Here is a 12863-nt window from a genome sequence, read left to right as displayed (position 1 = left end):
TCTTGGGGAGGAAGTGACTAGCATTCGAGATAATTTTTTTCAATGTTCAGACATTTGTGTCAACAGATTGAAGAAGGATTTACTGAATATGCCCAACTATTTTGAATATTAGGAGGTTTGCATAACCACCACCCCAACAAATGAGAGTATTTCGAGGGTGAGGTAATAATGATGTAAAAATAAAAATTTTCAACTTGGACAAATTAGAGAAAAATTAAGCTGTACATGAGTTGTCATGACGACAAGGATGTTCTGTTGATGAACTGTCCTCCTCATTGTCCAATCAGATAGTAGAGCTGAAGCTGGAGCATGAACAGGAGAAGACGCACCTATTACAGCAGCATAACGCAGAGAAGGATAGCCTAGTCCGAGACCATGAACGGGAAATTGAAAACCTGGAAAAACAGCTTCGCGCTGCCAATATGGAGCACGAAAATCAAATTCAGGAGTTCAAGAAACGAGATGCACAGGTAATTATCAATAATATTTGATAAAACGGGTATCTGTTTTTAAAAAGTCATCAGCGTTTAATGTTTTCTTATTATTCTTATTGATGCACGCTGTTTGATCATTTGCAAAACTGACATATAAATGTGATTTTTTTTTTGTTTTTCTCCCCCCCACCCCCCCCCCCCCCCGTTTTGGGATGAATAAAGCCTTAACTACAGAAACCACAGGTAGCCAGATTAAAAATCCCATGGCGCGCTATAACTTGGCCCCCTTTTTTATGATCTTGTCTCAGTTCCTTTCATGATGGATTTTTTTAAGGTATCTGCCCCTTACCCCTCCCTTCAGCCTTAGCAAATCCCTATGAAATATATCAGCCTCACTCCTTGCTTTTTGTTTTAATCTCTGTAGGTAATCAAGCAGCTGTTTTAATATTTGCTTTTCCTTCCTAGTGTTGCTGTTTTCATTAGACTATATTTGATTAGATCACTCAGATGGTAATTGATAAAAATGACTCCAGAGAAGGGCTATTTCCCATCAGGTCTGTTGCTTTTTCCTGCACACACACATGCCTCCTAGCCCACATCTCTGTAGTCCCTGTTGGAAGCCATTTGGCAGAATAACCCCCAGCTGTGGTAGCATTTGACTCCTCAAACTTGTGGATGAAATGTGCACTGTCAGCATGGAAAATTATCTTTATAAATTTCAGATGAAAAAAGAAATCTTATTGGATGTGTATCTTTGTGATACAATACATTCTGTAGAGTATATATAATCAAGGGCCTTTAGTGTATCCTCTTGAGATTGCTGTGAAATTGCATTAAAGAAAAATTTAAGAGCAATTGATAACAATAAAAAGATAATGTTCTTTTCTAATAAAAACATATTGTATACTAGGTCTAAATACCCCTTTTCCCATTGAAATCTAACCATGCTAACCACACCACACAAGCTTCTTCCTGTAGTTATTCTTCCTCCGCAAATAATATAATTTTCAAACAAAACAAACCTTCTGTTATATTATGTCTTTCAACAATCTTGTGATTATCTAAACATAAACACACTACTAATTAAGTAAGATGTTAATTTTTTTGAGTGGACAGCGGGAGGTGGTAAGGCAAAGAATAGGAGTTATTGGTTATTTTTCATTTGACCTTGAGTTGTCTTCTATATTCAGAGAATAACTGATGCAATATGAATATACACAGCACAGGTTTTGTTGTCAATGGTATACATTTACAGTACAATTATTTTCAACTTGTTTTACGCTGGCTTGCTACCTAAAAAGGTAGTCATTGTAGTGCCCATGGTACGAGAATACTTAGGTGGTTCCTGTTAAATCATCGTGTATTATATTTTTGCCACCAGCCTCATTAGAGCCTTTATGAAATATATGCTGGTGTTTTGACTCTTAGCCATTCAATTTATTAGGAATATTGTCTAGTTCATATTCTCTTTCAAATATGATGTTAAACCTTACCATTGTTTTCCCATGGTAAGAGATATGGGTTCTGAGTCAGTGTAGGATTTGTTTGCATAGTAGAATTGTATAATGGATAAAATAAAATACACTAATTTGCATAACTTCCTATTATTTGGGGGCTGCTATGGGAAGCCGATACAAGTGGAGGCCAAATTTAGAGGGAACCTTTGTGATTTTGCATGAGTCGTGTCTGCCATATAGGGTGCGGTTCATCCAATCATAACAAAAGGGAAATTTTAGTTCTATTACGTATAATAAAGCCACAGGGATAGTACAATGAGGCTATTAATTGAATTTCTTCCTATTGAAACATTAAGTATGAGGACTATATGACCTCCTCAAATGCTGTAATTTAGGATTGTATTTCTCATATTTCGTGTCTTTCTTGGAACGTTTTACTAATTGGAATTGCTGTCAAGGGAATGCCAGTAAGCAATGGAAACAGGCTAAATGCATTCTTGCTCAAAAGGAAAATAATTTTGTGTATGTTGTACTTAGTCGTTCTTAGAGAATACAATTTTTTAAAGTTTTAGCAATGAGCTGTACTTTAAAAAATCTTATCATGTGTACCAAAATACTCATAATTTGTATTTATCTTTGGTTATTTACTGAGGATATTAATTCAAAGTTTCCTTCAGGTAAGTCTTAAATTTTCAAAATCTATCTCTTCATGGTTGTGGTCTAAATAATGTAATGTATAATACCTTTTAAGTTCTAAATTCATTCACAAATTTCAAGGAAACAAAGTAGGCATATAATTTTCAAAATAGATCTTTTTCAAATCACTGTGTTGTAGTTTGATGCAGAACAAACGTATTAAATATTAGATTGTATAATTTTTTAATTTGATTTTCAGTTAGAGATTTGATTTTCAGTTAATGTGTGGCTATTCTAGTTTAGCAATGGAGGCCATTTTGTAAAAAGGGCTATTAGAAATACTTAACCAAAAGAGGACCAGTGAAATATCTATTTTGAAATCTATGGCTTTGTTTGCTCTTCCCTTCCACCAGATTCTTAAATGAGTACAGTTTCCTTAAAATCTATTTTTGACTTCTTCCAAATATGTAGTACATTGTATGCTGATTAGAAAATCATTATTATAAAGTATAGTTACCAACCTTAAGGTGAATCGTTCCAACTAGGGGACTCCCTTTTGGTGAATATGTTTTATAATTATTATAGGTTGTTATTCTAATAATTTCTGTTTTAAAGAGCAATGATAAGACATAGAAATGCACCAAGAACAATGAAGTAGTCTCCTCATTTTATTTGGTTCAGTTAGGTAATTATTTTGTCTATATTATATTTTTGTTATAGTACTTTGATTTTCAATGGCAGGATATATTATATTTTGATACTTAAATTTGCTAATGTGCACATTAAATTTTACCACCATCATACAAGATGTTCAGTCTGGTATCTATCTAAGGTCATATGTTTAAGAAAAAGCATTCAGACTGGTAGAAATCAAGACTTGTAGAAATTCATAACCTCATTGTCGAATATTTCTCATTTACCAGGTCTCTCTTATTGAAATTATTTTGGAGAATGATCTCATTGATTCAATCATATTTTAATATGAAGAAAATTTATAAATATAATCTTAGCTTCTTCTGACATGGAAGTTCTACATGTAATTCTTATTTTGCTTTTGAACTATAATATAATGAAAGAATTTCTATAGTTTATCCTGTTGAATTAGAGGAAAAATAGAACATAGGTTCCTTGATCCCTTACTTGTCTTTTTAGGGCCCTGAACCATTTAGAGATTGCTTGATGTTTTACGTTTGTTGCCACAGTGAGTGGTGTGTGTGACTACCGTAGAGATTGTTGCATAGAACCTTTGTGATTCTCCCCAGAGGTGGCGTCACCATCTTAGGACCACTCTGTGACCTGTTGCAGTAGAGACATTTAGGCACCTAGGGTAACCAGCAGCCATTGTGCATCACCATCAGTATCATGCAAATTAAATGCAGCAACCTTGCAGAAGGTCATCAGCCATATCTGAAAAATATATTGAATTTAGCATTTGCATATAGTACAGTGGCTCTTGCAAAACATTGGCACCCAAATGCCTTTCTTAATTCCCTACACTGAGCATCATAAATCTAATATGAACAATTTTTACATAATAAATGGACAGATTATCTTGATTTTGCCATAGTGATTCACATTAAGAGCTGAACTTATCACTGATTCCGAAATGTAGAATTTGTAATAATTCTTTTCTACTTAGAAAAAAGTTTTCCTGGAAAGATATTGATAGGACAATTTTAATTTTAAAAATTGTATCTCAGTTGCATTACCTGATTTTCCATGCATTTGCAAATTTGGGCCCAAGATAAAAATCTCCATTTATAAACTGAGTGTGTGCCTGCATCCAGGGGCTTGAACATTGGCTATCATTCTTTAAAGATTACTCGAAGGGTAAATTTAACAATATGTATAGTCTGAATGTTCTTGTTATACCTACATACATGGCTTTTGGTCTTTGGTAGCATTTTTCTAGTGAAAACATTTTAATTTTTTTATATGCCAGCTACTATCAAAAGGATCTAAAGCAGCATTTTATAATAAACATACACTTAAAATAACTGAAAATAATTAAGCAATAAATTATATTCACCACATTAGAAAATCTATACTGAAGAAAAAATATTACAGTTAAGCGGAAATTTTAGCTCTGCGCTTGCCTGGAAGCCACAGCAAAGAGGGAAACTTTGCTGTGAATTGTATAATTCTAATTATGTAATGACAAAAATCATAGCAGTTCTTTTTTTTCTAGTTCTCAGTTCTGAGAGAAATTTATGCCATTAGACTTAATATAAAGGACATTGACCAATATAATTGATGATATTTTCCATATGTTAAAACATTGGAAATAAAATCTGGTGGGGAAACTTTAGATTCTTTAGTACTTTCATAAAATGTAATTACTAGATTTTATTTTAATGTGCTAAAATTTCATTTTAATTTATTGAGAATATTATTATTCTCAAATCAAAAAACAAAGTGCTTTAAGAAATATAATTTTGTAGATATTATGAGTCATAAGAAAGTATATTTTAAGTCACAGCCTAGCAAATTCTAGGACAGTTGTTTCATCACTGTGCCAGGAATACTTACAAAGTGTCTTTAGGAAGTAGAAATTAGAAACATAGCTGAGATTAGAAATTATTTAGGAGTTAATGCCTAATATTAATTTCCAAGTGTTATTATCTCTTTCTTATATCTGATTTTCTTGTCTCTGAATTTGTTATGAAAAACTATAAAAAGAAATTATAAAATCAAATGATAATTCACTCCAAGAGTAAAAGATACTTACACCTGTATTAAAATGATTCATATCCTACCTGCATAACCAAAATAGTATTTCATCACTAATATTTATCCATTAATGCCATTTGCTTGGTCCTGAGGTAGTATATATTTTTGTTTCTTTGGATCAAACTGGACTGATTGCTTGGAAAAACCAAGCTATGTAAACTCTATTTTTCCCCCAGCCTAATGAAGCTGTTGCTGTTAATGTAACCCTGTTTTTTGTTCCCCTCTTCTCCCTAGTGACACACATGGTCACATCAGAGTGGTGGCCTGGTGTTCCAGCTGTGTACACACCAAGCTGTGCTACTCATCCCCTGATGGACTGAGTTATTTGTATTAGAGAGGGCAGAGTGTGTTTTAAGTATTAAGTGGGCTTTACTGCAATGTACAAAGTTTAATGTTAGGCATTAGAAGGTTGGTGGGAAAAGTTTTTATTATTTCACTTTAATTTTGTAAAAAGAAAATAAGATACTTTTGGTGGACTCCTGGTAAAACCACACATTACAATTCTCTATTTTCTTTAGATGAAGTTTTATCATATTATCTAAGTGCCGTATTTAAGATAGCCCAGGAACTTTCTGTATATATTCAAAATATTGATAGAGTTTTTCATAACTAGGCCATTTAAAAAAGTGTGTGGGGGAGATGCTGTTTTTCTGACACCAAAAGCATAGGTCATACAGAATTTTCCAAATAGAGGGGGCAAAAATTCTCAGCATATTTTGGCTTGGATGCACTGATGTGAAAATCATGTTTCATTAGTATGCAATAATGTTGTGTCTATTTAGTATTACATGTGAATTTAATAATAAATTTGCATTATTTATATATTACTATACAAATTAATAAGTAAAATAATACTATTTCTTAAGTATTTAGTTAGCAGAAAATATAGGAAAATGCTGCTTTAAGTAAAGCTTACATTTTGTGTAGGTCACCAGCTTTCTTTTTCTATTATAATTCTAAAGTTCTGTAATTGTTTTCATCCTGAAGGCATAAAACTAGTGTATATATACCTGTGATTAAACTATTATAAACAATTTAACTTTGCCCTCATCATGGAGAAAATTATATTGTTTAAAAAGCAAAAAATACAAGATGAGGCAAGAAAAATGATTGCTCTAAGAATGATCCATTTGTAGAAGATACAGTGTATCTTTAGTCCTGTGCATATTTTTAAAATGTGGCAGTTACCATGGAAACTACATTCTGTGGTATTTGGTCCACTTTTAGATAGGGAGCATTTCTTTTAAAGACAAACCTTCTAAATAATACCATAAAGTATTCCATTTGCATTAGTAACTTTGTGTCAACTAATAATGATTGTTTTAAAAATCTATCTTTTGTTCTCATTATATTTAATGGATTTCTTTAGAAATATTAAAATTGTTCTTGAAGAAGAGGTAATTAAATATGGAAGAGATTTTAAATAGGGAGTAAAATATGATCACTGCAGTGGTGAGAACTGGGAGGGTTGCAAGGGACCACAAGTCATTGTATACCATATGTTCTGCCAACATGAAGCCTTTAGTTATATCAGGTGTGTAAGTATCTAGCAGTAGGATAGTCAGATAAAGTAATCTAAAGAGATGACCACATCCAACTGTATTCCATTTACAGATAAGAAACCTATGATTCAAGGACAATCTCTTGCCTAAGGTCACAGAACTAGCAAACCAGGGCTTCTTAATCTGAATTTAGTGCTCTTTCTATCATAGTTTCCTCCAAGAAAGATTTTAGATTTTTGGAGAGACTTGGACATGGCAAAAAAGGAACAGGATTATATAGGAATCTTTGCCTGGTGTGGGAGAGAGAGACACTGGTACTCTGCTCCCCTGCTGAGCTTCTCATAGCAGTTTGCATTTCTTTCAGCGATTTGCCATATTTAATGTTGCTTCAAAGTCATAATAATGCTTGAATAATGCTGCTTGATATCCAGTTTGAGTATGTAGTAGCTCCTCCAACAACACTGAGTTTTTATGTTTGTATGTGTTTAACAGCAGCAGTAGCAACAGCAACAACAACAACAACAACAAGTATTTATGGTGTGCTTTCCATGTGCCAAGCTCTCTGCTGGGTCCTTTGCATTGCATTCTCTTATGCAACCCTTTAATACCTTATGAGGATGACATTTCCTATCTAGAAACTCTGTTTTGATCTTTTTACCTGGGTCAGAAGATGACTATATGTATTTTCATTTTACCAATGAAGAAAGATTCAGAAAGCATAAATAAATTGCCCAACTCATAGCAAAGTCCTCTACCCCATATGCCTGCTAGTGTATGAGCACATTGTCTCTGAATTTTATTTATTCTGCATAAATCCATTATATTGCTAATTTTGGATTGTCACTACCTTAATAGATTTAAAATACTGATAGTCATAATTCAAACTACATATATCCAAATCAAGTATTAGCCGGTAGTTTCACTCTTTCTCCAAGACCACAAGCCATGACTATGTCTTTCTTTTGAGGTAAATTAAACTCTAAAGAGATATGCAATCCTTAATATTTTCTTCGGAATATAGTTTCTTCCAACAAGTTTCAGAATTTGTAGAATAGAACAGTGAGTAGTGAGTACATTTTGAAATGGGTTCACTTTTGGTTTCACATTATTGCTGAAATAAGAAGGAGTGCCCAGAGTAAGAATCCACCAAGTTTTTAGGTCAATGAGGCCTACCAGTCTTGATAAAAACAGCGTAGGAATTTGCATTTAGTAGTGGTAAGGTATGGTTTTTTTGTGAATGGTTTATGATCTGTGGATATTTGTTATATTCACATACTAATTTGGAATATTACATATGATCCATTCATTTTATAGAATGAAATTTTAACTCTCAGAGTTCAATGTTTGTTAGTATTTTTTTCCTAAAGGAACCTGAATGAGGATCCTATTGCATGACAGAATCCAATAAAAGCCACTTAGAAATGAGGTCAAGGATTATGAAGTTCAAACCTGGAGATTTTTTCATACCGATACAAGGGTATAATTAGAAAATGTGTTTCTTCTAGACTCCTCAAAAACAATTTATGTTGATGCAGTGTTAGCTTCATCCTAGAGCTATTTTGCTCAAAGTAAAGACTTTTAAGATGAATTCTTTTCTAAAATAAATACTCCAGAGAAAAAGCATTATTCTGCATGCAGAATGTCATTTCCATTGACATAAGGAAATATGCCTTGAGTTATTTTTAGCATATTACTCTTCCTTCTCCTTTTCACCTAGGCCTCGAAGAAATTACTAGGAATATTGGCAGAAATTATCTCTGAGAAAGTATTGGATGAATAACTCTTCTTCCTTAATGTCTTGGAAAAGTCATTTTTGGATTTCTGACTCAATCGGTTCTGTAAGAGACATCCCTGATGTCTTCATTTGTATATTTGTGGTAATTTTTTGTGACAGAGAGGTTGAAGCCAAAGTGCAAGAAATGATGGGCAAAATGGTGATATCATCAAATGTTCAAAGAGCTGGCAAATTGAAGCTTATTAAACTGTCATTTTGTCTCCCATTCAGGACTAATTGGAATCATGCCTACTTGCATGATATGAAAGATATTTAACACCTGAGCTTTTTTCATGACAAAAATGTCACAAATTGGTGTCAGGGAGACCTTAAATGCCTATTTGGAGAAGAGAACACAGCACTGTATGAAAATAATGGTCTGTTTTCGAACTATTGTAATATTTGTGTACAGAAAATATTTTATAAATATTGTCATTAAGTAGAAAGTTTTAGATAATAAAAATGGGCTGAATTGAGCCCCCAAGTATTGAATCAGTAGGTTAGTGTGCAACTTGAGATAATGTTTTTTAGTTGAAACAAATATTAAAATTCAAGGAAAATTATACTTTTTCACTTGTTTTAATAATTATTTTAAATTACGTCTTGATCTCTTGAGTGCTTTTGGATATTTGTTTATTGGGAGGTTGGGAAAAATCATAAGAAATCACAAAGAAACAATACACAATTAGACTTCCAGGGTTTGAAAATGTGTTATTTTTCTGGTTTATTTTTATTTGTTTTGCTTAGGTATGAAGTCAAGTATTAGTCAAGTAATACTGAAAGTATTAGTCACATTTGAATATGAGTTAATGGTGTCCTCAGAGATTGAAGTGTGCTGAATGATGTGACCTGGATCTAGGTCTCTTCCCTTGTTTGTAGGGACAGTTGTAATGCTGCACTAGTCTCGAGGAGTGTGTGTGTCGTTTCACTGGATAACTGTGGCTCTGTGATACAGAAGAGCCTTCAGTGAACAGAGATCCAGTAGTTCAGCCAGGCCCACCATCTTAAAACAAGGGGATTTTCCAGTGGAAAGACCTGAAAGTCGCAGGTCTTTAAAAAGGTTAAAATTAAAGTGGTGATTCATTCATCTTAAGTTTGCTCCTTAAGTCAGTATTTATTACGAAAACAAACCCCAGATCCCTAGGGTCAAGTGGGACCTTACTTATTTCGTTATTTTCAAAGATGTCATTTAATGTACAAAATGCATGTGTTCACCAAATGTTTCCTGAAAAGCTAATTTTTTGAAATGTAAATGTTATCCTCACTTGTTGGCTAAAATGATAGCTCCAGTTATAGTGACATTGACAGGCACAACAAGAGAAGTGGAGTGTGAGGGTTGAAAACTTTTGCTCTTCAATTATCCACCAATTACTGCTTATCCACCAATTACTGCCAAAGCTGTCGTTAGACAAATGCCATGAGTTCAAGAGCTGCAGTGTGTTCCAGGCTCCCCTGTTAAAGCCCGGACTGTACATAGATGTTTCAGACTTGGGGCAAAATTTGGAAATGCGCTCCTGTGATGTCACCTCTCTAACCATTTCTAGTGGCACACAATAAAAAAAAAAAATCATCATCTACTGCCATAATGTTGGTGTTTCGTAAAAACATTATTCAATTCAGGAACAAGAGTAGTAGAGTAAATCTCAAGAAAAATCATAATTATTGTTAACTGTTTTGATTGCTTTTTGAGATCTCATTGTTTCAAATTAATATAGAAAAACATGGAACTCTGTGACTTGGACATTTTATAATTATGACCCTTCAGATAATATGTAAATCAAATTTATTTCCATGTAAGTTTGCTGGCCAAAAATGAGGCAGACATTAACTTTTTTCAACTTCATTTCATTAAGAATTTTGGAGTGCTTACCCTGTGCCGGGCCCTAGGGCTGGGCATGCACACCTTTAGGAGGTGCCTTTCACATCCTGATTTATGTGAATGTTGCCCCAGAGTTGTACAGGGCATGGCCTATATGGCCGTAAGGGTATTCCTGTACCCAGTGCAAGATAGACCAGTACTCTGCTCTAAAGGAAATTACAGTTGCATTGGGGAAGACAGATCATAAGACAAAAACCAAATTAACAAGGAGAGTATCACATAGCAATAACTTGTAGGTGGAGAATTAAAATTGAGAGATATGATACAGTGACAATTGTGTTAGCTGGCCATCAGAGAACGCCTCTCCAAAGAAAAGATATCTCATTTAAGATCTGATTGATAAGAAGCCAGCCAGACTGAGGCAACAATTGGTGCAGAGACCCTGTAGGAAAATAAGTTTTGTGTGTTCTTGAAATGAAAAAGGAGACCTGTCTGGCATGAGCATAGCAGGTATGAGAAAGGGGGCAGGGAGTAGCAGACACAGGGCTTTTTAAGCCCTGGTGAAGAGTTTGAATTGCATTTTAAATGTGATGGGAAGACAGAGGCTGTAAGCAGTAAGGTGACATGATTTGATTCATGTTTTTTACAGATCGCTCTGTTTGTGAACAGTCCTAGATGCCAATATGGCATGCGTATGTGAGGCAGCAGGACTTGCAGATGGGTTGGGTGTGGGGAATGAGGGGAAGAAGAAGTACGAGTAACTCCTAGAGTTTTGGTTTGAGCAGCTGTATAGATGGTGGTGTCAAATACGAGGAAGATTGCCGGGGAACAGAAGCAAAAGCAAGAGGTCTTTTGTTGCCAAGCTAAGTGTGAGCTGCATGTTAAACATCCAGAGGGAAGTGTGTCAGACAGCGAGTTGGATATGCAGGTTGAGATTCCAGAGATGCGAACTGAGCATATAGATAATAATTAAAGCATGGGCCCAGATGCAATTACCAATTTCTTATTGAATATTAAGATAGAGATGCTGGTTCATGGCCAGTCTCTATCATTTACTGGCTCTATAAACCTGAGTTCATATTAGCTAATTACCTTAATACCCCCAATCATCATTTTCCACACCTGTGATATCCATTCATTCATTTAGTGGCATTCATTGAGCTCCTACTATGAGCCAGGCCCCTATGCCGGACCTACGTATATAAAAAAGGAATGGTTTCTCCCTCAAGCTTACAGTCTATGGGGAAACAGGCATTGTGCATCTGTCATAAATGGAGAATACTATAATTCATACCAACAGATATGAGTAAAGAATGTCTTCCTTTAACGTAGACAGAGGACGCATCTTACCACACATCAAAGGCTGCGTGGTATAGGAGACACAGTAACAATAACCCTGGTCAGAAGGACAAGCTCCCCTCGCTCGCACATTGTTATGAAGGCACCCTTTGCTGATGATATCACCGGATTGTTGTGATGATTTAATCAGGCCCTTTAAGGAATGTTCTTTACCATTCTTTGGTATGGAAGGAGATTAATATCCCCTTGGTCCATTTCTACTGTCTAGAAACATTGACTGTACACCTGCCTGTCCACCAGGTATGTAACTGGTGACAATGCCAGCATCTTTCTGAGAATGACAGAGGGAGTATGGAAATAGAAGGTTATATTCTGCGGCCTACTCTAGCGTACTTACCCTTCAGGCCTGCCAGAGTTACAGCAAAGTACAACAAAGTCATAATGAAGCTTTGATCCCAAGAAAAGTAGAGATGGAAGTTATGGGATGTGGGGGCATCAGGTCTGAGGAGGTCATCAGAAGAGGTTCCATTAGAGTAGACATCAGATGCTTTGAGTTTTAAAAAATGACTGAAATGTTCTCTGCAAATTAGAATGGAAAAAGCATTCTAAACAGAAAGAGTAGCATGATTAATATATGAAGAACACGTACCATGTTGAGAAGTTCGGACTGGGTCCGCTTGGCCAGTGATCTCCAGTTTGTGGTTTATACTGTCTGTGCTGCCATCTGCAATGCCTCTACCATTCCTCCACTTTAATATTCCACTTGTTACACTTATTATCCCACTTAGTAATTATTTAGAGCAGTGTTCTCCCAAGTGGGGTTCACTAGGGTATAGAAAGAAAAAACCCAGAACTTCTGTTAATGTGTGTTTGAATTTTGTCTTTAAAAATACTTACTTTGTGCAAATTTGTATAATGTATTTAACATATTAATAGTGTTACAAATTTATATATATACGCGCACTGTATATTTTATGATAGGAGTGTCTCAAAAAAGTTTAGAGACCATAACTGTCAACAATCGAAAGTCACTGCAGAATTTTAAGCAGAAGATGAAGAATTAGCAGGCAGTGAGACTGGAGCCTGGGTGACTAGTTAGAGTCACCCTCGCGAGAGATGATGAGGGCCTTAGCCAAGGCAGTGACAATGGGGAAAGTTGATGTGGCAGTGAGGGAGAGAGAGCAGACCTTGAGTTATGGTTTGACATGCTGT

General features: G+C 35.0%; 1 protein-coding gene and 1 long non-coding RNA gene across 23 annotated transcripts in view; one reads left to right on the top strand and one right to left on the bottom strand.

Moving 5' to 3' along the window:
* CEP112 (centrosomal protein 112) overlaps nucleotides 1-12863 on the top strand; it is a 556597-nt gene that overhangs the window by 289512 nt on the left and 254222 nt on the right. For 21 of the 22 annotated variants that reach the window (XR_007065281.1, XR_007065280.1, XR_007065282.1 and 18 more), the window contains one exon: nucleotides 288-470. Coding sequence is in view for 19 of the 22 variants with exons in the window: in NM_001353128.2 (NP_001340057.1) it covers nucleotides 288-470 (183 nt within the window). In the remaining 3 variants the exon portion in view is untranslated. Of the gene's footprint in view, nucleotides 1-287; nucleotides 471-8476; nucleotides 9097-12863 lie in introns of those variants that run through there. The other variant, XM_006721744.4, reaches the window with a different exon arrangement.
* LOC105371867 (uncharacterized) overlaps nucleotides 1-12863 on the bottom strand; it is a 34476-nt gene that overhangs the window by 11179 nt on the left and 10434 nt on the right. The window contains exon 2 of the long non-coding RNA XR_001752977.3: nucleotides 12301-12476. This is a non-coding gene — a long non-coding RNA (uncharacterized LOC105371867). The remainder of the gene's footprint in view (nucleotides 1-12300; nucleotides 12477-12863) is intronic.

The sequence above is a fragment of the Homo sapiens genome, chromosome 17 (assembly GCF_000001405.40).
Source record: "Homo sapiens chromosome 17, GRCh38.p14 Primary Assembly".
NCBI classification, from domain to species: domain Eukaryota; kingdom Metazoa; phylum Chordata; class Mammalia; order Primates; family Hominidae; genus Homo; species Homo sapiens.
The sequence above is the reverse complement of the archived record's forward strand: the minus strand, read 5'-3'. Positions and strand labels throughout refer to the sequence as shown.